General features: G+C 39.8%; 1 pseudogene across 1 annotated transcript in view, besides 1 other annotated feature; it reads left to right on the top strand.

Annotated features, from left to right (window-relative positions):
• CYP4Z2P (cytochrome P450 family 4 subfamily Z member 2, pseudogene) overlaps positions 1 to 26,494 on the top strand; it is a 57,381-nt pseudogene that overhangs the window by 19,106 nt on the left and 11,781 nt on the right. Inside the window, exons 7-9 of the transcript NR_002788.2 lie at positions 8,023 to 8,126; positions 13,233 to 13,423; positions 21,583 to 21,716. The product of NR_002788.2 is annotated as a cytochrome P450 family 4 subfamily Z member 2, pseudogene (transcript). The remainder of the gene's footprint in view (positions 1 to 8,022; positions 8,127 to 13,232; positions 13,424 to 21,582; positions 21,717 to 26,494) is intronic.
• Positions 19,181 to 19,787: an enhancer, noted in NCBI's record as "H3K27ac-H3K4me1 hESC enhancer chr1:47327255-47327861 (GRCh37/hg19 assembly coordinates)". NCBI's record gives its function as "activates a minimal SCP1, AML or CMV promoter by ChIP-STARR-seq in naive H9 embryonic stem cells {active_cell/tissue: H9 hESC(naive)}" and the evidence as "EXISTENCE:reporter gene assay evidence [ECO:0000049][PMID:30033119]".

The following is a 26,494-nucleotide window of genomic DNA, read 5'->3' as shown; positions in this document are numbered from 1 at the left end:
TTCTGGTAAATTTGTTTGAGTTCATTGTAGATTCTGGATATTAGCCCTTTGTCAGATGAGGAGATTGCAAAAATTTTCTCCCATTCTGTAGGTTGTCTGTTCACTCTGATGGTAGTTTCTTTTGCTGTGCAGAAGCTCTTTAGTTTAATAAGATCCCATTTGTCAATTTTGGCTTTTGTTGCCATTGCTTTTGGTGTTTTAGACATGAAGTCCTTGCCCGTGCCTATGTCCTGAATGGTATTGCCTAGGTTTTCTTCTAGGGTTTTTATGGTTTTATGTCTAACATTTAAGTCTTTAATCCATCTTGAATTAATTTTTGTATAAGGTGTAAGGAAGGGATCCAGTTTCAGCTTTATACATATGGCTAGCCAGTTTTCCCAGCACCATTTATTAAATAGGGAATCCTTTCCCCATTTATTTTTTTGTCAGGTTTGTCAAATATCAGATGGGTGTACATGTGTGGTATTATTTCTGAGGGCTCTGTTCTGTTCCATTGGTCTATATCTCTGTTTTGGTACCAGTACCATGCTGTTTTGGTTACTGTAGCCTTGTAGTATAGTTTGAAGTCAGGTAGCGTGATGCTTCCAGCTTTGTTCTTTTGGCTTACGATTGACTTGGCAATGAGGGCTCTTTTTTGGCTCTATATGAACTTTAAAGTAGTTTTTTCCAATTCTGTGAAGAAAGTCATTGGTAGCTTGATGGGGATGGCATTGAATCTATAAATTACCTTGGGCAGTATGGCCATTTTCACGATATTGATTCTTCCTACCCATGAGCATGGAATATTCTTCCATTTGTTTGTGTCCTCTTATTTCATTGAGCAGTGGTTTATAGTTCCCCTTTAAGAGGTCCTTCACATCCCTTGTAAGTTGGATTCCTAGGTATTTTATTCTCTTTGAAGCAATTGTGAATGGGAGTTCACTCATGATTTGCTCTCTGTTTGTCTGTTATTGGTGTATAAGAATGCTTGTGATTTTTGCACATTGATTTTGTATCCTGAGACTTTGCTGAAGTTGCTTATCAGCTTAAGGAGATTTTGGGCTGACACAATGGGGTTTTCTAAATATACAATAACGTCGTCTGCAAACTGGGACAGTGTGACATCCTCTTTTCCTAATTGAATGCCCTTTATTTCTTTCTCCTGCCTGATTGCCCTGGCCAGAACTTCCAACACTACATTGAATAGGAGTGGTGAGAGAGGGCATCCCTGTCTTGTGCCAGTTTTCAAGTGGAATGCTTCCAGGTTTTGCCCATTCAGTATGATATTGGCTGTGGGTTTGTCATAAATAGCTCTTATTATTCTGAGATACATCCCATCAATACCTAATTTATTGAGAGTTTTTAGCATGAAGGGCTGTTGAATTTTGTCAAAGGCCTTTTCTACATCTATTGAGAAAATCATGTGGTTTTTGTCTTTGGTTCTGTTTATATGCTGGATTACGTTGATTGATTTGCATATGTTGAACCAGCCTTGCATCCCAGGGATGAAGCCCACTTGATCATGGTGGATAAGCTTTTTGATGTGCTGCTGGATTTGGTTTGCCAGTATTTTATTAAGGAATTTTGCATCAATGTTCATCAGGAATATTGGTCTAAAATTCTCTTTTTTTGTTGTGTCTCTGCCAGGCTTTGGTATCAGGATGATGCTGGCCTCATAAAATGAGTTAGGGAGGATTCCCTCTTTTTCTATCGATTGGAATAGTTTCAGAAGGAATGGTACCAGCTCCTCCTTGTCCCTCTGGTAGAATTTGGCTGTGAATCCATCTGGTCCTGTACTTTTTTTGGTTGGTAGGCTATTAATTATTGCCTCAATTTCAGAGCCTGTCATTGGTCTATTCAGAGATTCAACTTCTTCCTGGTTTAGTCTTGGGAGGGTGTATGCGTCCAGTAATTTATCCATTTCTTCTAGATTTACTAGTTTATTTGCTTAGAGGTGTTTATAGTATTCTCTGATGGTAGTTTGTATTTCTGTGGGATTGGTGGTGACATCCCTTTATCATTTTTTTTTCGTCTATTTGATTCTTCAAATGTGTCTATTTGATTCTCCAATTTTTTTTTGTTTTTTGTTTTTGTTTTGTTTTGAGACAGGGTCTCACCTTATCACCCAGGCTGCAGTGTGGTGGCACTATCTCAGCTCACTGCAGATTCAACCTCCTGGGTTCAAGTGATCCTCCTGCCTCAGCCCCCCAAGCAGCTGGGACTACAGGTGTGTGCCACCACACCCGGCTAAATATTGTATTTTTTTTTTACTAGAGGCAGGGTTTCACCATTTTGTGCAGGCTGGTTTCGAACTCCTGAGCTCAAGCAATTTGCCTGCGTCAGCCTCCCAAAGTGCTAGGATTACAGGCGTGAGCCACTGTGCTCAGCCAAGGTTTATTTCTCATATGCAGCATTTATTTAGATTTTGTTTATGTAGTCTGAAAATCTTTGTGCTTTGGTTAGAGCATTTAAACCACTTATATTTAATGTAATCACTAGAATATTTGGATTTCAACATGCCGTGTAACTATTTGTTTTCTATTTAACCGATTTTTATCCCTTCTTTTATTAATTGCTGGATCATTTTATATTATTATTTTTTCTGTTTTAGATCATAAGTTTAGTTTTCATGGGTATGCTAGAAATTACAACATGTAGTCTTTATTTATTAGAATCTAACATATGTAATTACATTATACTTCCCTGAAAATGCAAGGATCTTACACCATTTGAACCTCTATTTACTACTTCTCATATTTTTAAATATTGTTGTGATGGGTTTTTTTAATAATTTTTTTTAAGTTCCGAGGTATATGTGCAGGATGTGCAGGATACGGATAATAATTAGGCAAAATATTACAGCAATTAGAATTTTACAACCAGAATTCCACATTGTGGAAGTTATTCTCTAATGACAAGTCAAGGGGGAAATGTATGCTTTTCTTAAGAAAAATGTTACTTTTATGTTAATGTTTCTGGTAATGCACAGCGACACCTAATGGAGGCAAACCAATATTGCAATCCATTGGTGTAACAGGTATCAAACTCTGTTATGGCCTATAGGATCCCCATTAACAGTGATACTCTTAATACTCATATATTCTAACCCTATATTTTAAACCTTCTTGTAAAATTTATCTCTTTTCACCTAGAAGCAATCAAACTCCAAACAGTGCTGCAGGCAGAACCACACATGAACAAGCTATTTTTTTGAGAACCCTTAGATCAACCTCAGGAGGAGGCCCAACTGCCTTTCTCCCACACAACGCCCCTTTTCAGCAGGCAGTAGCAAGAAGGAATTGTCGTCCAATGCCCCTTCACAGCAGTTAGGTTTGCTTAGAGAATAAGTTCAGGCTTAGGCCATTTTTATAACTTGCAATATGATTGGGAGAAATATGATATTGATGCTAAAACAACTTTAGCGTTAATCTCACAATTCCTTTTCTTTAATTATTAATTTTTTCTGACTTTCATAGACCCTCTTACAACACACTTAAACTTTCTGACATGTCCTAAACATTCTTCCTTTAAACAACCAGTCATCTTTTTTAGGACAAGTATTTACCATACAAAATCCTTTCTTTTATAAAATCTTCTTCTTTATAACCTTCTCTTCATAGCTTAAAATGGATTATATTATGAACCTTCAGTAAAAAGTCCTATTAAACTTAATGATAGTAAAATTTTCATACTTGTTTCTTGTCCATAACTATTACTCCTGCCATAAGCAAAACAACCTTGACTAAATCTTTCCTGCAATTATTAATCCTGTTATAAGGATAATAATTAGGCAAGATATTACAGCAATTAGAATTTTACAACCAGAGTTCCACATTGTGGGTGCTACAGTGTATACTTCTTTTGCAAATAGTAGCATGACTATAACAATTCCCACAAGAGTGGCATAGTAAATAATTTCCTTTGAAAAGTTTACATAACATTTCCCTTTGGGGATTTACAAAATTACAAATGCGATTCTATGAATAATTAAAATCTCCCTGCAAATATGTGTTAAAAAGAAGTTTTAGTATCTGGTGATGATCTTTGAGAGGAAAGGTTAGAAATAGTGAAAAGTATCTGGTGAGGTAGGAGAGGGACTGAGTAAGATAAGTAGCCGTCACTCAGTTACTTATCTTTTATGATTTTCAGCTTAAGATCCTCTGTTTCTTCACATTGATATGGAGACATTCCTCTGAGCTGTCAGGGGTTGCTCCCTCAGCTCTTCAGGCTTTGACTTGAGTGTGATGTATCCAGGAGTTGATTCCTGTAACTTTTACTGCTGAGGGGGTTGAAAGAAGAACAGTGTAGGGCCTTTTCCAGCTTGACTTAGGGAAGGAGAAAGAGCTGAGAGTTTTCACCAATACCAAATTTCCTGGGTTAAATAAAGGTGTTTCTATTTCTTGGGATTGGGTTCTTGTTAGTTGTGTTATCGTCTATTGGAAGTGAGCTAGAGAGTTTACATGCTTAACCAATTTAGAGGTTTCCTGCCTGAAACAATCTCTGAGCACATTGATAAGTTTTTGTCCTTTTCCAAGTGAAAAGCTTGGCAAAGGATTTTAAGGACTTTCCATTGGCTGGAGGCTGGCAAATAGAGTTTGCCATCCTGACTGTAACCATCCTGAGAACTGAAAAGTATGCCCTTGAGAAGTGGCCTATTTTATTTCTGCAGGGGAATACTGGGGTTTAATTTCTCTTATGAAGCCTTCCTAAATTAGAAGGGGCTTGAAGCATGTTGATGCCCTGAGGCTTCCTTGCCTTTGATTTAGCTGCCTGATCAGCTAACCTATTTTCTTCGGCTATCTTATTTGTTCCCTTTTGATGTCCCCTGCAATGCATCCCTCCTATTGCTCATGGAAGAAAAACTGAGGATAATAACCTGCTAATTTTGTGGTGATATTTTATAGGAGGTCCATTGGCGGTTTTCCTTTTAAATGGCAGCATGAGCATGGAGAGCTAAGAGAGCGTACTTGGAGTAGGTATAAATGTTAGCTACCTTTCCTTGCTTAATTCAAGTGCTCTTGTAAGTGCTATTAGCTCAGTCAATTAAGTGCTTGTGCCTGGGGAGAGACATTATTTAGAGTGACTACTGCTTATCCTGCCTTATGTACTTCTTGCTTTACTGGCTGTTTGTTAACTAAGAGCTCCCCCTACAGGACAGTGATAATGCCACATCATGTGGAGTGTAAACAGTTAAATTATTTCCTAGGGTTAACCTGGAGGCTTTTTTTGCTAGTAGAGCTGTTATGACGATGGTTTGGAAACACGTGTAAACAATAAGTTCTAACTGCAACTAAGGTTGAGAAAAATATTGGATCAGAGTTTTTCCTGATATGCCCCTTCTGGTCGTGCTATGGGAAGAGGGGAGGCCTGGAGTTAAAGGGGAGAAAGGAGACTGGCTCTAATGTTCAGAAGGAGGTCCGCTTTCCTTCCTTTAATTTCCAGAATCACCCAGGGCTCCCGTGCTGTACTAGCAGTTTGAGCCACTGGAGTCGGCATTTGAGTCCCAGGACCCATCAGTCCTGCTGGACCATCTGTGAGAGTGGTCCTGAACCCAGTGACCTCCACCTCTGGGGGCACTTCCATGTCCAGTGATCTGTGCCACAGGCTGGACAGGGTCACGCTGGCTTTGTCTTGCTGCCTGGGCACTCCTTCTTAAAATGCCACACCGATAGAAACTAGCGGATGCAACTTGGGGATCCTGGACTTTGCAAGCCTGCAAAGTTGGTGCTACCGTCTCTCTCCTTCTCCTGAGCTTTTTCTCTTTCTTTTGGGCCTCCCCCTGGTCCCTATTATAAAAGACCAAAGTGGCCACCTTCAGGAGGTTCTCTAAGGTGCTATCTGGTCCTATAGCTTGCTTCTGTACTTTCCTTCTAATATTGGGGTTCTAGTACAGCCTCTCTCAGCCTTTCTGTAAAGGCTACGGAATTCTTATCTGGCTTCTGGTCTATTATAGACAGTTTAGAGTAATTGAGAGGGTTGGTCCTGGTTTTCCATAGGCCTTCTAAAATGCATATTAAAAAGTGCTTCCTTTTCCATTTATCTTCTGAGTTATTGGGGTTGCAATTAGGGGTCTTTACCAGAATTGCCTCTCTCCCAATTGGGAATGGTGTTTTTGCTATTTCTTTACTTTCCCTATCTGCTTTCTTCCCTTTTGGTGTATTATAGGAGATATATTGCTCATCTCCAACATTTTCTGTTGCTTGCAGAGCTGCCTGCTTTTTAGCTGCTGTGAGGGTCTGGTTTAGGAACAGCATAACATCCCTCCATGGCAGGTGAAATACCTGAGTTAAATTTTGGAAAGCCTCTAAATACCTATCAGGGTCATTAGAAAACTGGCCTAAGTCTCCATTTATTTGCCTAAGGTCCTATAATGAGAAGGGAACTTGAAGGGGCCCCAAATAAGGGGAATCCTCAGATGGTTTCCCTGGAGGTTACTTCTCTAATTTGGGGGAACTATTCTTTTTTGGGCCTGCCTGATATGATTGTTAAAAGAGTTGGGTTGATCTTACGATGTTTGCAAGGGTTTAGTAAAAATGCCATGCACTTGTGCAAAAGAAAATGAGTTGCTTTTCTTTTTGAAGTCCTGAGGTTAAAGAAGTTCCAGTGTTTCAGAGTGCACTCCAGAGGGGTGCAAGCTGAAGATAATCTGTTACCCATCTAGAAAAAGATGTGAGAGTTCTTTTAGTCTCCTTCCTTTCCATATGACCCAGGGTGAAGGACAAGACAGGGGAGCATCCTTCTGGCTGTTTTCTCTCCCTGGTTCTTGGGTCCCAGCACCCTGTTAACTATGCCACCTATGGTCGAAGGCGTGGTCCTCCAAGCTATGGAACCAGATGAACTAAGTGATGCTTTACCCACACAACCTTAGCTTATCCACCTTGTGTCATTCCTCTTTTCACTTCCTAAACCTGTGTGATCTGCCCGGCTCCCCAAAATATGAGAGACTGTGTCATTTTTGGGCAAGCCTCCTTTAATGGAGGCAATGTGCCAAATTGCCTGCTATTATGGCCCATGCTAAAGCATTTACCTTAGAAAAATGGTTCCAGTTAACTTCCAAACTTAGAATCCCCTTACTAAGTACCATTTTAGTAGGAAACAGATTGGATGTCTTAAAAGAACATAGGAACTGAGGGGCTATTTTCATGCTGATGGGACAATATGGAGACTAAAATTTGGCTATGGAAGACATTTTACTCCTAACTGCTAAAGGCAGAACTTTCCTGTTCACAGAAGTAGCTTAGAGCCTAGTTTCCAGTAGAAAAGGCACAAAAAGGAAAAGTTGGAAAGCTGCAATGTACTGTAGAGAACTAACAATGTGTGTTATGGAGAGAATTTCTATTTCCACTAGTCATTTATCAGTTCCAGGAGCCTTTTGGCAGAGTCTTCAGGGTTTTCCAGGCATAGAATTTATCATCCGCAAGGAGAGATAGTTTGATTTCTTATTTTCCTATTTGGATGCTTTTTATTTCTTTCTCTTGCCTGATTGCTGTGGCTAGCATTCCCAGTATTATGTTAAATAGGAGTGGTGAGAGTAGGCTTCCTTGTCTTGTTCCAGTTCTCAAAGGGAATATTTTCAGTATTCCTCCACCACTCATTTTGAGCACCAGTCTCTACCATGAGATATGACATCTCATCTTTTTCTTTAAAACCAAAGCCTAGGTTGTACAAATTAAGCTCAGCGATTGGTAACAGTACCCTACATCACAAACAAATTTTACAACCTTTGAATTAAATTTATGTACCAAGCACCTCTAAGCATATATGTCAAACACCTCCAACCTTTACAACAACTCGGTGTGATACATTTCAACATTCTTACTTGAAGGAAGAGAAATTGTGGCTAAAGGGTGAAGTACCTGTAGGTCAGGGATGGGACCATTTAAAAAAAAAAGACAGCTGGTGGTACTGTCCCTTACCAACTCAGAAACATGGGGGGGGTGCCAGGGGGTCCCCATAAAGCACCAGCTTCTCAGAACTACATTTGGCTTTGATTGACTTTCCAGTAACCTTGATAATAACAAAGATCATAATTTTTCCATCTAGAGAAAGTAATCCAGGACCGGAAGGAGTCTCTTAAGGATAAGCTAAAACAAGATACTACTCAGAAAAGACGCCAGGATTTTCTGGACATACTTTTGAGTGCCAAAGTAAGTCTTCTAAACTTCTGAACACATGCAACTCAATAATTAAATAATAAAGAAATAGGCCGGGCACAGTGACTAGCACCTGTAATCCAGCATTTTGGGAGGCCAAGGCGGGCAGATCACTTGAGGTCAGGAGTTTGAGACAAGCCTGGCCAACATAGTGAAACCTGGTCTCTACAAAAAACACAAAAATTAGCTGGGCATGGTGGTGCATGCCTGTAGTCCCAGCTACTCGGGAGGCTGAGGTGGGAGAGTCATTTGAACCTGGGAGGTGGTAGAGCAAGACTCTGTCTCAAAAAATAAATAAGTAAAATTAAAATATCAAATAAATAAATTAGAAAAACTTACTTATATGATAACTGATGCATATTGAACTTCCCTTGTGAAGATTTGCCTCCTTGTCCTCCCAGGGCTTTCCCTCATGCCTCCAGTGTCACATTTTAATTATCTGGGCACTTGTCTGTCTTTTTCCAAGCCCACAAGCTGCTGAAACCTTCTTCCTCAACATGTGGTCTATAGACCAGCAGCATTGGTAAAACCTGGGAGCTTGTTAGAAATGCAGAATCTTAGGCCCTACCTCAGACCTAGTGGGTTAGAATCTTCATTTCAACATATCCCTCGGTGTTTCATTTGCAATTAAAGTTTGAAAAACCCCATCCTAGAAGACTAGGATCATATTTTATTCCTGTTTCCCTAGTGATTAGCACAGTGCTTGGTGACTGGCTCATGAGGTGTCCATGTGATGTTCATGAGAAAAGTGAAGGACTTGGCAATTGACAGTCACTCAATATATGACAACTATTGTTGCACACCAGGCTAGCAATCCTGTAAGGATAAAATTAGATTATATGTGTAAAGATCCTGACATGTGGTGAGAAAAACAATATTTTTATTTTATTTTGTAGTTATTATATATTTTAATACATATTTATTCATAATTTTTGCTTATGTGCCAAGCACCTTCAACCTTTATTATAACAACCTGTGGGGTATTTATAAATATCTTTATGTAAGGAAGAGAAATTGTGGCTCAAAAAGTGAAGTGAACTGCTCAAGATGACATACCTAAAACTAACAAAGCCAGGATTTAAGACAATTCTGGTTCAGTCCAAATCCCATGCCATTTCCATTGTACTAGATGGCACTACGTGAACATAATTTTCCATCATCATCTCCAAGTGTTCAATAAATATTTGCTGAATTTAATTGTGCTGAATTATTTGAGGGAAGAAAAATAAATAAATACTCTGTGAGGGACCAAAAATAAATAGATACTCTGTGAGGGACCAAAATAAATAAATACTCTGTGAACTCAACTTTCATTGTGTTGGCTACCTTGATCATGTGAAACACGACTCTTCCTAAACCAGGACTACTAAGAACAGGGCACTGCAAAATGAGGTGGATTTGGAAGTGAAATAGAATTGCCAGGAACTAATGACTTGTTAAAAACACACACACACACACACATTTAATTTTCTGCTGAGCCTGGTGGCTCATACCTGTAATCCAGCGACTCAGGAGACAGAGGCAGGAGGATCACTTGAGGCCAGGAGTTTGAGACAAGCCTGGGCAACATAGTAAGACCCCATCTCTACAAAAATTTAAAAATTATCCAGGTGTGGCAGCACTGCCTGTAGCCCTAGCTACTCTGGAGGCTGAGGTGGGAGGATCACTTGAACAGGAATTCAAAGCTAATCATGCCACTGCACTCCAGTCTGTGTGACAGGGGATGACATCGACTCTAAAAATAATAGTAAAAAATAAAATAACATTTTCTGATTAGAAAAATAGTACTCATTGTTTTCATTTTGAGTTAATATCTTTTTTCTTTTTGATTTCCAACTCTTAAGTTCAGGGGTACATGTGCAGGATGTGCAGGTTTGTTACATAGGTAAACGTGTGCCATAGTGGTTTGCTGCACAGATCATCCCATCATCTAGATATTAAGCCCAGCACTCATTCGCTATTCTTTTTTTTTTTTGTATTTTAACAGAGCCTCACTCTGTCGCTGAGGCTGAAGTACAGTGGTGCAATCTTGGCTCACTGCAAACTCCGCCTTCCGGGTTCAAGCGATTCTCCTGCCTCAGCCTCCCTAGTAGCAGGGACTACAGACATGTGCCACCACGCCTGGCTGATTTTTTCTTTTTTTTTAATAGAGACGGGTTTTGCCATGTTGGCCAGGCTGGTCTAGAACTCCTGATCTCAAATGATCTGCCCACCTCAGCATCCCAAAGTGCTGGGATTACAGGCGTGAGCCACCATGCATGGCCTCATTACCTATTCTTGATGCTCTCCCTCCTCCCAGCCCCCATCCCCCAACAGGCTCCAGGTGTGCTGTTCCCGCACCACGTGTCCATGTGTTCTCATCATTCAGCTCCCACTTGTAAGTGAGAATATGTGGTATTTGGTTTTCTGTTCCTGTGTTAGTTTTCTGAGGATAATGGCTTCTAGCTCCATCCATGTCCCTGCAAACGACACGATCTCATTCCTTTTTATGTCTGCATAGTATTCCATGGTGTATATGTACCACATTTTCTTTATCCCATCTATTATTGATGGGCATTTAAGTTGATTCCATGTCTTTGCTATTGTGAATAGTGCTGCAGTGAACATACGTGTGCATGTATCTTTATAATAAAATGATTTGTATTCCTTTGGGTATATACCCAGTAATGGGATCATTGGATCAAATGGTATTCCTGCCTCTAGGTCTTTGAGGAATCACCACACTGTCTTCCACAAGAGTTGAACTAATTTACACTCCCATCAGCAGTGTAAAAGTGTTCCTTCTTCTCCACAATTTCCCCAGCATCTGTTGTTTTTTGAATTTTTAATAGCAGCCATTCTGACTGGCATGAGATGGTATCTCACTGTGGTATTGATTTGCATTTCTCTAATGATTACTGATGTTGAGCTTTTTCATGTGTTTTTTGGCCACATGTATGTCTTCCTTTGAGAAATATTTATCCATGTCCTTTGCCTCCTTTTTAATGGAGTTGTTTTTCTTGTAAATTTAAATTCCTTGTAGATGCTGGATATTAGGCCTTTGTCAAATGGATAGATTGCAAAAATTTTCTCCTATTCTGTAGGTTGTCTATTCATGCTGATAATAGTTTCTTTTGTTGTGCAGAGAAGCTCTTTAGTTTAATTAGATCCCATTTGTCAATTTCTGCTTTTGTTGCAATTGCTTTTGGCGTCTTTTTTTTTTAATTTTTTTATTATTATACTTTAAGTTTTAGGGTACATGTGCACAACGTGCAGGTTAGTTACATATGTATACATGTGCCATGTTGGTGTGCTGCACCCAGTAACTCGTCATTTAACATTAGGTATATCTCCTAATGCTATCCCTCCCCACTCCCCCCACCTCACAACAGGCCCCGGTGTCCTATGTCCTGAATGGTATTGCCTAGATTTTTGTCTGGAGTTTTCATAGTTTTGGGTTCTTTAATCCATCTTGAGTTGATTTTTGCACATAATGTAAGGAAGTTTCCATTTTTTCCATATGACTACCCAGTTCTCCCAGCATGGTTTATTAAATAGGGAATCCTTTTTCCATTGCTTGTTATTGTTGACTTGGCTGAAGATCAGATGATTGTAGGTGTGCAGTCTTATTTGTGGGTTCCCTATTCTGTTCCATTGGTCTCTGTGTCTGTTCTTGTACCAGTACCATGCTTTTTTAGTTACTGTAGTCTTGTGGAATAATTTGAAGAGGCCTCCAGCTTTGGTTTGTTTGTTTGTTTGTTTTCTTAGGATTGTCTTGGCTACTCAGGCTCTTTTTGGGTTCCATGTGAGTGTTTTGTTTTTTTTTTTTTTTTTTGAGTCTGAGAGTCTGACTCTCACTCTGTCACCCAGGCTGGAGTGCAGTGGTGTGCTCCTGGCTCACTGCAACCTCCACCTCCCGGGTTCAAGCGATTCTCATGTCTCAGCCTCCTGAGTAGCTGGGATTACAGATGCCAGCCATCATGCCCAGCTAATTTTTGTATTTTCAGTAGAGATGAGGTATCACCATGTTGGCCATGCTGGTCTTGAACCCCTGAACTCAAGTGATCCTCCCACCTTGGCCTTCCAAAGTGTTGGGATTACAGGCATGAGCCACTGCACCCAGCCCCATATGAATTTTAAAAGTTTTTTCTAATTCTATGAAGAATCTCAATAGTAGTTTAATGGGAACAGCATTGAATCCATAAATTGCTTTGAGCAACATGGCCATTTTCATGATATTGATTCTTCCTATCCATGAGCATGGAATGCTTTCCCACTTGTTTGTGTCCTCTCAGATTTCTCTGAGCAGTGGTTTGTAGTTCTTCTCAAAAAGGTCCTTCACTTCCATTGTTAGATGTATTCCTAGATATTCTATTCTTTTGTGGCAGTTGTGAATGGTAGTTCATTCATGATTTGGCTCTTAGCTTGCCTGTTGTTGGTGGAAAAATAGTACACATTAATTGTTAAACAAAATTAAATAGACAGTAAAGGAAATTAAAACTGCCTGCAATCCCATTTGGTAATACTATCATTTTCCTTCAATATTTTGTCTATTCAACTTGTATATTTTTAAATTACTATTATCTCACATATACATATGTAATACATTTCTAATGCCGCTCTTTTCACCTAATATTAAATCATGAGCTTCCCCCTTATCATTAAGAAGTTATTCAAAGACATAATTTTAGTTACTACATAATGTCCCATTTTATGGATGGTCCATAACTTATTTTTACCTTTCCCTATTTTTGGCCACTTATGGTCTTTCCTTCTTTTGACTATGGTATTAAACATTCTCGTACATAAATCTCTTGTGCAATTGTTAAACATTTTCTTAGAGTTTATTCCTTTAAGTAGAATTAATAAATCAAAAAATATGAATGTCCATAGGACTCTCGATTTATTCTGCCCAGTTGAATTCTGTTGAGTCATTTCTTTTTACATCACCTGGTGTTCTGTTAAGGTTTGAAAAAAAGTAAAATAGAAAAATATATGCCAAATTAGTTGTATTAATTTTGAATTTTGAAACATTAATATTTTTGTATTATCATTGCTACAATTGAAAAATATAACAATCCATAGCCAGCTTTGCATAAATATCATCACTGTATTTTTTAGAGTGAAAACACCAAAGACTTCTCTGAAGCAGATCTCCAAGCTGAAGTGAAAACGTTCATGTTTGCAGGACATGACACCACAACTACTGCTATCTCCTGGATCTTTTACTGCTTGGCAAAGTACCCTGAGCATCAGCAGAGATGCTGAGATGAAATCAGGGAACTCCTAGGGGATGGGTCTTCTATTACCTGGTAAGATCTGTATTCCTATTTCATCCTGAATTTTCCCCTTATACATTTGATTATTTCTCTCTTCCGGTATCAGTGAGTTACTGTGCATTGGGATAGTCTGTATGCATTTGGAAGGGTAAAGATACAGGCTAGAGTCCTATGTTATTTAAAGATTATCACTAGTTTTTATGTGGAAAAACATTGTGTCAATCACACAGTATTCAGTATGCCCTTTTTTTTTTTTTTTGAGACGGAGTCTCGCTCTGTCGCCCAGGCTGGAGTGCAGTGGTGTGATCTCGGCTCACTGCAAGCTCCGCCTCCCGGGTTCACGCCATTCTCCTGCCTCAGCCTCCGGAGTAGCTGGCACTACAGGCGCCCGCCACCATGCCCAGCTAATTTTTTGTATTTTTAGTAGAGATGGGGTTTCACCGTGTTAGCCAGGATGGTCTCGATCTCCTGACCTCGTGATCCGCCCGTCTCGGCCTCCCAAAGTGCCAGGATTACAGGCGTGAGCCACCGCGCCGGCCAGTATGCCCTATTTTATAACTTTCCTCACTTCAGGCACTGGTACAATTGCGGAAGGAATAGTCTGCCTACCTTTTTTATGTCACGGAAGGCAGGAATATAACAAACCCCTCTTTCTCCAAGATGTAAATGGACTTCTTAGGACTCCAGCTTTTACCACCTTAGATTGCCCAAGTAAGATGTTCAGTCACTTGACATGAAAGAGAATTCACACCCCTCTTCCTTATCACCATCTCTGAACCTTAAACACTGCCACCCCACAATGATGATTAACCTTGAGCTGCTGGGTATTTCATGGTGTTAATAAAACCAAACTGATCATGTCTTAAAAACTTTTAAAGTGGTGAAACATAGAACACATTCAAAAAGTACAAAGAACAGATGTACAGCTTAAAATGTTGTCTAACAAACGCCATATAGTTGCAATCCTGGTTTAAAAGAAAAATTGCACGTTACCAGCACTGCTAAAAACCTCGTGCCTGCCTTCCCATCACAAACCCCTTCTATTTCTCCAAGATGTAAATGTTTTCCTGACTTTAATAACATTCATTCTTTGTTTTTGTTTATAGTTTGTTGCCTAAGCATGCAACTTTAAATACTAGAGTCTAGTTTATCTTCTGTTTGAAGTACATATGAATAAAATCATACATTCTTTTGTTTGACTTCTTTTGCACAGGATTCACTCATTTTTTAGAGGAGCTTCTTTTCGGTCATTTTCATTCCACTATGGAATTCCATTATGTATAAATCATGAATCCTATATCCATTCTAGTGTTGATGAACATTTAGGCTATTCTCAGGTTTTGTTTTGGTTTTGCTATTACAATGGCTCCTTCTTATCTGTGGTTTCACTTTCCATGATTTCAGTATCCACTGTCAACCGTGGTCCAAAAATATTAAATGAAAAATGTCATAAACAAACAATTTATAAGTTTTAAATTGATGCCATTCTGAGTAACATGATGAAATCTCCTGCCATCTCCCTCTGTCCCATCAAGGATGTGAAGCATTTCTTTGTCCAGCGTATCCACACTGTATATGCTACCTGCCAGTTGGTCACGGTTGGTGTTGGTTATCAAATCAGTTGTCTTGGTATCACAGTGCTTGTGTTCAAGTAACTCTTATTTTACTTAATAATGGCCTCAAAGTATATGAAAAAACAGTATATACAAAGTTCAGTACTATCCATGGTTTCAGGCATCCACTGGGGGTTTTGGAACGTATCCCTCACGGATAAGTGGGGACTACTGTATAAATAATGCTTTTAAGAACAACCATCCAGTTCTGGAATTTTCTTTGTTGGAAGACTTTTTGTTACTGATTCAATCTCACTACTCATATTGGTCTGTTCAGATTTTCTATTTCTTTCCAGTTCAATCTGGGTAGGTTGAATGTTTCCAGGAATTTACCCATTTCTTCTAGGTTTTCTAGTTTGTTAGTGTATAGTTGTTCATAACAGTCTCTAGTGACCTTTTGTATTTCTGTGGTATCAGTTGAACGTCTTCTTTTTCATTTGATTTTATTTGGATCTTCTCTCTTTTTCTCTTTGTTAGTCTAACAGTGGTTTGTTGATTTTACTTATCTTTTCAAAAACCAACTTTCATTTTGTTGATCCTTGCATTGTTCTTTTAGCCTCTACTTCATTTAGTTCTGCTCTGATCTTTATATTTCTTTCCTTCTACTGATTTGGGGTTTAGTTTGTTCTTGTTTTTCTAGTTCCTAGAGGTGCCTCATTAGATTGCTTATTTGAAATCTTTCTAGGTTTTTGCTGTAGGCACTTATTACTATAATTTCCATCTTAGCACTGCTTTTGCTGTATGTCATAGGTTTTGGTAAGTTGTGTTTCAACTTTCATTTGATTCGAGACTTTTTTTTATTTCCTTCATAATTTCTTTCTTGACTCATTTGCTGTTCAGGAGAATGCTGTTTAATTTCCATGTATTTGTACAGTTTCCAAAGTTCCTCTTATTATTGATTTCTAATTTTAGTCCTTTGTGGTCTGGGAAGACACTTCATATGATTTTAATTTTTAAAAAATGTTTTCAGACTTGTTTAGTGTCCTCACATATAGTCTATCCTGGAAAATATTCCATGTGCTGATAAGAAAAATATGTAATCTGTAGCTTTTGGACAAAATATTCTGTAAATGTCTGGGAGGTCCATTTAGTCCAATGTGCAATTTAAATCCATCTAGACCATCCAAATTTGTCTAGATGGCCTGTCTAAAGCTGAGAGTTGGGTGCTGAAGTCTCCAACTGTTATTGTATTAAAGTGTATCTCTTTAGTTCTAACAATATTTGCTTTATATATCTGGGTCCTCCAATGTTGGATGCATACATGTTTAGATTGTTATAACCTCTTGCTAAACTGATCCTTTTATCATTATATAATGACTTTCTATGTCTTTTTTTATAATTTTTTACTTTTTCTCTGATATAAACATAGCTCCTCCTACTCATTTTTGGTTTCTGTTTGCATGGACTATCTTTTCCCATTCCTTTACTTTCAGTCTATATGTGTCTTTACAGGTGAGATGAGCTTCTTGTATACAGCATATAGTTGGGTCATGTTTTTTAATCCATTCAGCCAGTATATATCTTTTAAGTGGAAAATTTAATTACATTCCAAGTTATTACTGATATGTGATGGCATATTGCTGCCATTTTATTAATTGATTTCTGGTTGTTTTGTATATACTTTGTTCTTTTCTTTCATTGTTTATCATTGTGGTTAGGTTGTATTCTGTAGTGGTAACATTTGAGCTTTTTCTCTGTCTTGTTTGTGTGTTAGTTTTACCAGTGATCTTTATATTTTCTAGTATTTTCACTATGGCAATTATCACTCTTTTACTTCTGGGTGTAGGACGCCCTTGAGCATTTTTCGTAGGTTGAGCCCAGTGGTGATGAATTCCCTCAGCTTTTGCTTGTTTCTCCTTCATTTATGAAGGATAACTTTGCTGGGAATAGTATCCTTGACTAACCATTGTTTTGTTTCAGCACTTTGAATGTATCATCCCATTCTATCCTGGCCTATAAGGTTTCTGCTGAGAAATCTGCTGTTAGCCTAATGGAGGTTCCTTTATAAATGACTGGTGACTTGACACTGTTCTCTTGCTGTTTTTAGCATTTTCTCTTCATCTTTGTCTTTTGACAGTTTGACCATAATATGCTATAGAGAAGACCTTTTGAATTGTATCTATTTGGGAATTTTTAAGCCTCCAGTATGCGGATGTGTAAATCTCTTGCTAGACTTATGAAGTTGTCACCTATTATTTTATTAAAGGGTTTTCTAACCTTTTTGTTTTCTCTTCACCTTCTGGGACACAAAAAATTTGAATATTTGATGATTTTATGGTGTCTTATATGTCACATAGGCTCTGCTCATTCTTTTTTATCCTTTTTTATTTAATTTTTCTGAGTTATTTCAAAAGACCCATCATCAAGGTCTGAGTCTGCTTGATCTAGTCTGATTGTTGGAGCTTCCAAATGTATTTTTTATTTCATTCAATGAATTTTTCAGTTTCAGAATCTCTGTTTGTTTTTGTTTGTTTGCTTGTTTTTTAAGAGACAGAGTCTCACTCTGTTACCCAGGCTGGAGTGTAGTGGCATGATCATAGCTCACTGCAGCCTCAAACTCCTGGGCTCAAGCAATCTTTCTGTTTCAGCCTTCCAAGTATCTGGGATTACAGGCATGTGCCACCATGCCTGGTTAATTTTTTTAAATACAGATAGGATCTCACAATGTTGTCCAAGCTGGTCTTGAACTCCTGGCCTCAAACAATCTTTCTGCCTCAGCCTCTCAAAGTGCTGAGGTTACAGGTGTGAGCCATCTTTTTTTATATCTGTCTCTTTGATGGATTTCTCACTCATATCCTGAATTTCTTGTCTGACTTCTTTGTAGTGTTTTTCAGCATTCTCTTATATCTTACCATGCTTGCTGTATTTATTTATTAGATGGAGTTTTGCCCTTGTTGCCCATGCTGGAATGCAATGGTGGCAATGGTGTGATCTCCGCTCATTGCATTCTCACTTCCCGGGTTCAAGCGATTCTCCTTCTTCAGACTTTCGAGTAGCTGGGAATACAGCCACATGCCACCACATCCGGCTAATTTTTTTATTTTTAGTAGAGACAGGGTTTCACCATGTTGGCCAGGCTGGTCTCGAACTCCTGACCTCAGGTGATATGCCTGCCTCTGCCTCCCAAAATGCTGGGATTACAGGCGTGAGGCACCACGCCCGGCCTCACCATGCTTCTTTAGGGTCAATATTTTGAATTCTTTTTCCAGTATTTTGTAAATTTATTTTTGATTGGGATCTGTTGCTAGAGAATTACTGTGTTCTTTCCTTGCTTTTCATGTTTCCTCTGTTCTTACATTGGTATTTGTGCATCTTGTGTAACAGTTGCTTCTTCTAATTTTTTGAATTTGCTTTCATAGGGGAGGACTCTTCCTGAAAATGTATGTGTAGTGTTCATTGGGTAGGATGCTTTGGCTTTGATTCTGGGTGTGTGCAGTAGTGTAATCACTGTATGATTTCTTCAACTGTAAACAGCATCATTGTTGTCTGTGATTTTCTCAGTGGCTTAGGATGTGCTTAGTGAAAAGTGTGGTGAAGCTTTGCTAGGAACTGGGATACTACATGGGCCAGTCTTCGGGTCCCAGCAGTGGCTGCAGTGGGCTGAGTATGCCTGTTCTTGGGCACCAGGGTGATGTATACTAGCACCAGTGTTGGCTGCTCCAGGCAGGCCAATTCTTTGGTTTCCAGGTGGCTTGCCTGAGCGTTGGAAATAGCAGTGGTGGGCCAGGTGGATGGGTGAGTTCTTGAGCCCCTGGGCATCAGGCATGTGGGACAACCCTCTGGGTCCTAAGCAGTCCACACTGGTATTGGTGGTGGCTGTGATGGGCTGAGTAGGCCAGTCCCCAGGCCTGCAGTTGGCACATGCGGGTGGGTGCCAGCTGTGGTGGTAGCAGCAGATTGAGTGAGCCCAACCTCAGACCCCAAGAGAAGGTCTCAGGTGCCAGTGATGGACTGGGCAGGGCAGTCTCTAGGACCCTAGACAGCATGCTCAGGTACTGGGAGGAGTGGAGCCAGCCTGAGCAGATCTGCCCTCAGACCCCCCAGTAGTATATGCAGGTGCTGGCTATGGTAGGCAGGGAGAGGGTGGTCCCCAGGCTGCTAGCAGAATGCTCAGATGAGAATGGCAGCAGCTGTGCTATGGCCCTGCTACTGGAGAGGGAGGGGCTGCTTTTATTTGGAGCAGCCATAAGCAAAAGGCTTTTGGGGGCTGGGGGTGGGGTGACTCATGCTTTGCTAGCACCTTGGCCCTTGCAGCAGCCCACAGCAGCTACAGTTACAGGCAGTGGAATTTGTCCGCAGGGTGCATGAAAATGTGTGCCCACCCCTCTGCTGGGGGTGATAGGGTCACTGGCAGTGGCTCCCACCTTGGCCCCAGCAGCAACAGCAGCAGCAGCTGTTGGGGAATGTCACTGGGGCTTCAGGGATGTGGAGATGTAGAGGCTGTTGAACCCCAAGGCAAGACACAGTCTGATGGGGGCTGAACTCTCCAGATGATGCCACACTGCAGCTGCTGAGGACTCAGGGGTTTGTGGGACCCAGTGTGAGCTCTCTCTCTGGAGTAATGTCTTCATGCAATCTCTAGGCAGCTCCTTATGTCAGTCTCAGGGCCTGCAAAGGTTAGTGGGCTCTTCCATAGCTAGTATTGTAGGAGTCCGTGGTGGGAATGTGGATCACTGGAGGGCTCTCACTTATTCTTTTCCCATATTAAGGAGCTTCTCCAGACTCCCAGTTGATCCCCGCCAAACAGGCTGCCTCACTTTCCTCTCCTTCCTTGCTTTTGGTGCTTTCCATCGCTTCTCTGTTGAATTCCAGTGTTCTCCCTTAGATCATCTATTCAAAGTGTCATTATCTACTTGCTATGTTGCTTCCTGTCTGTGGAAGAGGTGAGTACCAGATGCCTCTAGTCAGCCATCTTAGAGCCCCCTCCCTATTTTATTTATTTTATTTTTTTACAATTTTTAAATTTTACCTGCTGAAATTTTATCTCCTTGTACTGAGTAAGAAAAACTATTTTAAAATTCTCATGATTCCAATATTTGAAACTCCTGTGGATATTATTTTATTATGTTGTATCTGCTGGATTGTTGTTTTGTTTGTTTTGTTTTTCAAGTCATCCAGGCTCATTTTTTACCTGGAAAATTTTTACTTTGTACCAGACAAGTTTTTTACCAAATTCCTTGTAAACTAAGGCTGATGTAAGCTTCTTCCAGAGAGGATTTACATTTCTTTATGCCAGGTGTCTGTAATCATGCAATTCAGAATCCTCTTAATTCAAATATTTGGACCGTTAAAAGCTGTGCCATTGATACGGTGACTTTTCGTAGCTCCAGTTTACTCTTTTAACTAGAATGCCAACTTTGAACTCCCAACTCAAAGCAGCTAGATTCTTCAGGCACCTTCCCCCAGAGGGCCTGCAATCTGATCTTTGTCCACATAGCCACAGGAGGCTACCCAAAACACTTCTGAGTCTCTTAGCTCACTCTTCTGCAATCGGCAAGCCCCCAGCAGAAAAGCATTTCTAAATCTCAGGATCAAATCCATGAATCTTCAATCTTCATTCTCTCCTGAACCAACATCTCTATATTATATTACTAGCTTTCTGATGTGTTCAAGTACACTATGTGTGTTTTTGTGTGTGTGTGGTCCAAATTTTCTGGTTGTCATAGCAGGAGATATGAACTGAATTACTTAGTCCACCATCACTAGAAACAAAACTTGTTACCTTTTTGTTCAATTTGGATAGTTGTGTCTTTTTTCTCTAACATTCTCACCCAAAAATGACCAATTTTATTCATCTTTTCAATGAACCAATATCTAGCATTGCTGACCTTGTTGACTTTTTGCTTTTGCCTATCTCATTGATTCCTACTCTTCCCTAAACTATTTTTTCCTCTACTTCTTTGCATTTATTTTGCCTTTCCTATACCTGTTTCCAGGTGCATTCCTTTGCAGGCCCAGCCCAGAGCTGAAGGTGGCTTCCCACAGTCCCCACATGTGTTGAGCCCTTGATTCTGACTCATGTCTCCTTGCCCACTGCTCCACTTCTGGTTCGCAACAGAAGCATCAGCCATTATCTGCCCACTTCTGTGATCTCCAATCCTCCAATCCTCTTTATGGTCTCCTAACAAATGAGTTATCTCATTGATGCTTTTAAGAATATTTTTTAAAGTTCCCTGAGTTTTTTCAACTCTCTTAGTGAAGAAGGTAGTCTGTATTCCTACTACAGTACTATCAGAAATACTTATATTTTCATAAAAGAAGCACTCTAGATATAAATACAGCCCACATGTCTATCCAAATTTTCACAGATGTGTGATATTGGTCACAGGAGCCCTGGAATAGGTATGTCTCAGGATAAGAGCCCTATATCTTCGGCGAAAAAAAAGCTTACAGTTACATGTGAAAAGTGGTTCATGTTAAAATTTAGCTTTTCCTAAGACATACTTGATACATCTGAAGTCCTCCTTTGGGTAAAGAACAAAATCATTCTCAGTTACAAAAATGGGGAAAAGCTGGGCTTTCAGTGCAATGCCAAAGTGACTACTCCTCCTTTTCCTTTCCTCCTGTGCTTGTACCCAGGGAACACCTGAGCCAGATGCCTTACGCCACAATGTGCATCAAGGAATGCCTCCGCCTCTACGCACCGGTAGTAAACATATCCCGGTTACTCGACAAACCCATTACCTTTCCAGATGGACGCTCCTTACCTGCAGGTCTTAAAACAACTTTTTTTTTTTTTAACAATGCAGCTATGTTTGGATTGAAATGTCTTAACACACTCATGTCTTTAACAGTTATTTATCCTTAGACTCTGTGGAACCTAGGGCCATTCTTATTTCCCAGAGAGGGAGAAAGAGGAGAGAGCTCTCAGGACTATCTAAACAGGCACAGGATTATGCAGGTGCAAAGGTACAGAATCCTGCCATATGGACTGAGGAGTGGGTGAGGAGGCCTTCATGAAGCATCATGGCTTTAATGCTGAACCTTAAAGGACTAGATTTATATCAGCAAAGATGAGAGAGGCGCATTGTTGGCAGAGAGAAGAGCAGACACAAAGCAGCAGGCAGCCTGCCTTCTCCCTTCCCTCAGGCACACCAGCAGGGCATGTCACTGGAGCAATTGCTGTAATCCACCAGACTCCAGGATTCACAGAGGGAAGTTGTGGGACTATACCTGGAGCCATGATGTAGCCAGATCATAGTTTTCTGAAGGCCAACCTTTGTGTTCAGCCTTTCTCAATCAAGCAGCAGATTTAAGACATCTAAGCTGGGTAGCACGATTATAGTTATTTTTTAGAAAGATTAATACATTGGTGGGATGCAAGATGGATTGAAAGATGACATTAGAGATATAAAGGAATGAGCCAGAATTTATCTTTGACCTATGTTGAGGTGTGTTTCTACACCTTCCTCCAATTTAACCATCTTTCAAATACTGGATTTGATTGGGCATTTGTAGTAGTCTAATTAAATGTAGCAATATTTAATTGCTACTGTGCTACCATAGTTGCCCAATAGCAATTAAATATTTGTTTCCTACAAAATCAACTTTACTATTGTAACAACAAAAGGAAAAAATTATTTAGCACTTACTAGGAGCTGAGAATTGTTCCATATGTTTTGCATGTGTTAACTCATTTTATCCACCCATCCTCCTGCCCCCCAGTTCTGCTGTGGAAATACTAGTGTTATGCACATTTTAGCAAACAGGGACAAAAAGGTAAAACTTCATCTCTGGTAAATGGTAGAACTAGGACTTGAACCCAAGAAATGGGACTCTAGAGTGTGCTCTTAACTACTACACTACAGCAACAACTTAAGCTTTCTCTGGGATCTCTCCAGAGAAAGATCTTTGCTATCATGGGGATCTTTGCAATCATCTAGTATCTAAAGAAGTTTCCTCTTTTTAATTCAGTGTTATTTTTCACATAGTATTTATTGTAATATTTATTACCTACATAATATTGCATCTATGCACATAATGTTCCACGCACCTAGTTGTTCAAACAAGACAGCTCAGAGTCAACTTTTACTACCTTTTCCCTTAACCTTGCATTTCAATAATACTTAAATCCTGTCAATAATCTCTGGTTTTTTTCAATATCAATAAAATGATGATTTATTGCTGCCTTCCAACACAAGAAAATTATTTTCTCTGCTTCCATTCTAGATCACCTAAGCCCTGTAATCCAGAGTCTTAAAATCCCCCGACCCATACAAAAGCTACATGTTGAAAATGTGAGAATCAGCATGCCTTCTAATTTTTCCCATTCAGGTCCTTTCTGTTTCATGTTCCTTTCACTTTCCTGATCTTGTGGCTTTTGCGGCTGCTGCGGGTAACTTTCTGGGCTTCAGACAATTCTGTTGAGATCTGCATGGATGTTGGTGGAAGAGCTGGCTCCACCCGGCTGACTCAGTTTTAGGCGACTTATACGTCATCTCTGGTCTCCTGCAGTCTCTGCCCTTTCCTCCAAGTGCCTTCAAGGGCTGCACCTTAATCTCCCTCAAGCTACAATGAAGGGACAGGAAGTGCACACGCAGAGTTGCCTTCACCTCACTTTACATTCCTTTCCGCCACACCTTCTTGCCACACACAGAGCTTTCAGGCCTTCACTGGACCTCACGTGCTCATCTGTCTCATTTCCTGTTACCCTGCTTTCCTTCCTGCCCCTCTCATACACACAGGCACTCCACAACTTCACTTTCTTCACCCCAGGCTTGGATGCCTGGATTCATCACTCCAACTTCCCCTTTGGCAATGCCATCAACTTCCTTGAATATTTTCCCTTTCTCTACTGTCACTCATCAGTAATTCAACCAGCATTAAATTCCTCTATACGCTTTCTCTGCCCTGCTAATGGGCCCTTGAATACAGCTATAGCACAACAAAGCATGTGCAAATGGATGCCTCATATCCGCCAGACCCACCTCTTCCCCTGTATTACCCAAAAATCCTGTTTATTTCTAAAAAGAAACATGTTTATGATGCCTGCTTTCTCTCCCACACCTCACAATATCACTTACACATTTTCATCACTCTCTACCTGTGCCTGTGCCATGGCCCCATTCACTCTTGGCAAAAGACCTACTACATTATGTGTGCCCTTCTCTTCATTTGTTGGCCCAACAATTGCCTAGTAAACATCTGCTCTAGGCACTTTGCTTTGTTCTGAGCGTACTATGATGTGCAAAATGTCCAAAAGAAAGCATGTCATCTACCTCCTTCCCCTAAACCTATTCCTCCTCCTGGATTGCTACATTAATGAATGGCACCACTGTCTGTGAGTAATTTTAAGTGAGAAAGATAGAAGTCATCCTCACACCTCCACCATCTTCCTTACCCAGACAGTATCCAAGTCCTAGAATATCAGCTATTTCCTTCTCAACAACCTTGCTTCCATGGTCTCAGCTATTGCCTTTGTCAATCTTCATCTGCCAGAGTCCCCTAGTTTTTATATTTCCATACTTAGCTATCTACAAACCAATCTACTTATAAAAGATAAATCATAAGTCTAGGTAAATTCTAAGTTCCAACTCAAGAAAGCCACTTGGGTGATTCTGTTGCCACTTGTCCCTCCTAAGATCCTACTTATACACATACACTGAAATGCAAAAAGAAATAATCCCATAAAAGTGAAAAGAATGGAAGGAAAGTATTTAACAAACAAAAAGAGAGAGAGAGATTTTAATGAATTTATGAAATTAAAAAAGAAGGTAGGATTGGGCTGCCAAATTAAACAAGAAGAGAAATTCCCAGTTTTAAAAGGCAATGAGGGGGTGGCTGCAGAAAGACTTGCAGAGAGTAGAGGGTGGCTCTACTTTTTAATCCCATAGAAAAGGTTTAGAAATTGTGGTCTTAATAAGCTCAGTAAGGCTGAGCTACTTCAGGAAAAGTGTATATTAATCACCTAAAAGAAATAGTCAATCCTAAAAATTATATTTTATCTTTTAAAAGTTAACTTTTAATTTAGAGCCTAGGGTACAATTAAAGACTCTTTATTCTGGCAGAGAAAAGGGGATGTCCACTCTGCTAACAGATTGTGACCCAAATGATAACACAGATTCCTGGGAGAGCAGTCATTTTTTTCTGGACAATGCAGATCCCTTTTCACTAATCTTAAGAGATATTTTGAGCCTTGCTCAGAATTACCTAGATTTGTGGAACAAAGAAACTGGAGTTAGGAAGACAGATTTAGGGAGAGGAAGAAGATAAAATCAGATCAGTTGCAGGCAGTCATTAATCTGCCTTTCGTAAGTTTTTTTCCAGGGAATCTTCACTGACATTGAGTTAGAGTCATTGAGGTGTTTTCAGATTTTCTACATGGCAAAAAGAAAAAAGATGACAAACCACCAAAAGTTATGAATTTTATTTTCTTTTTGCCCTAAGGCTCCATGGAGATTTAAAACCTCAATAAAATAGGATGTTTTTCAAATTGTGTCTTTTTCTGACGTATTCTTGGTTTAAATATGTAATTTTGTTAGATAATGTGCATGCTTTTTTATTATAATGAATATGCTCATAAGGTGTCAGTGTGATTCTCTGGATTAATAAAACCCATGCCAGAAAAACAAAAACAAAAACAAAACAGATTCCCTCAATAGCCAATAACAGACCTATCAATGGCCTAGTGTGTGCCATGAATCTGATGGTCCAGTAAGCCTCAGTGGAGAGGGACATGGCCCAAAAAAATGGGTGTTCTATGAAATCTCCTAAATAATTCACAATCACTAAATAGAGCAAAACACAATGGGTTTTGTGCCACTCATGGGAGAGATCCATGGCAATCAACTAGACACTGGCTGTAAGCTAGAGCAAGCAGAAACTCCTAAGAAAGACAGTAACAGACTTAGGAAATCAAAAATATCTCATCTGAGGACACTGGCATGTGCCTGTAATCCCAGCTACTCAGGAGGCTGAGGTGGGAGGATCACTTTAGCCCAGGAGTTTGAGGCTGCAGCAAACTATAATCACACCACTTCCCTCCAGCCTGGGCAACATAGCGAGACCTTATCTCAAAAAAATTTTTTTCATTGACCATGAGTTGAGACTCACCCAAAGGAGCTAATAATTGATGAGCCTGTGAATCATACTTCTTAGGTATTAGCTACTACTGAACTTCAGTGGGCAGTCTGTTCTGATGATCTTGGTGAGACTTCCAGAAACCGTTTAAAAGAGAACAAGGCTTCTGGAACCAAAAATTGAAAAATGAAAGAATGTGTACTGCCAGGATATAAACCTAATCCAACCATAGAAGTTAGACCCTATGATTGAGGCTTGGGAGAGTTAAATAACATTGGGTTTTTGAAGCTCTAAACTTCAAAATCTCTGACCCATGTTAAGAAAGCAAATTTCTTGAATGTCCTTGATTAGCTAGCAATATGTGGATTAATCACTTAGGAAGAATTCGTTAACGGTGACCTGGCCATTTGTTTTTTGAAAGTGATCTTTGCTGTGTGGATGCAGCACTGTTATGGTGTCCCAGTTGCCATTC

This window comes from Homo sapiens, chromosome 1 (assembly GCF_000001405.40).
Source record: "Homo sapiens chromosome 1, GRCh38.p14 Primary Assembly".
NCBI lineage: Eukaryota > Metazoa > Chordata > Mammalia > Primates > Hominidae > Homo > Homo sapiens.
Note: the sequence above shows the minus strand (reverse complement) of the source record. Positions and strands in the feature narration are given on the sequence as shown.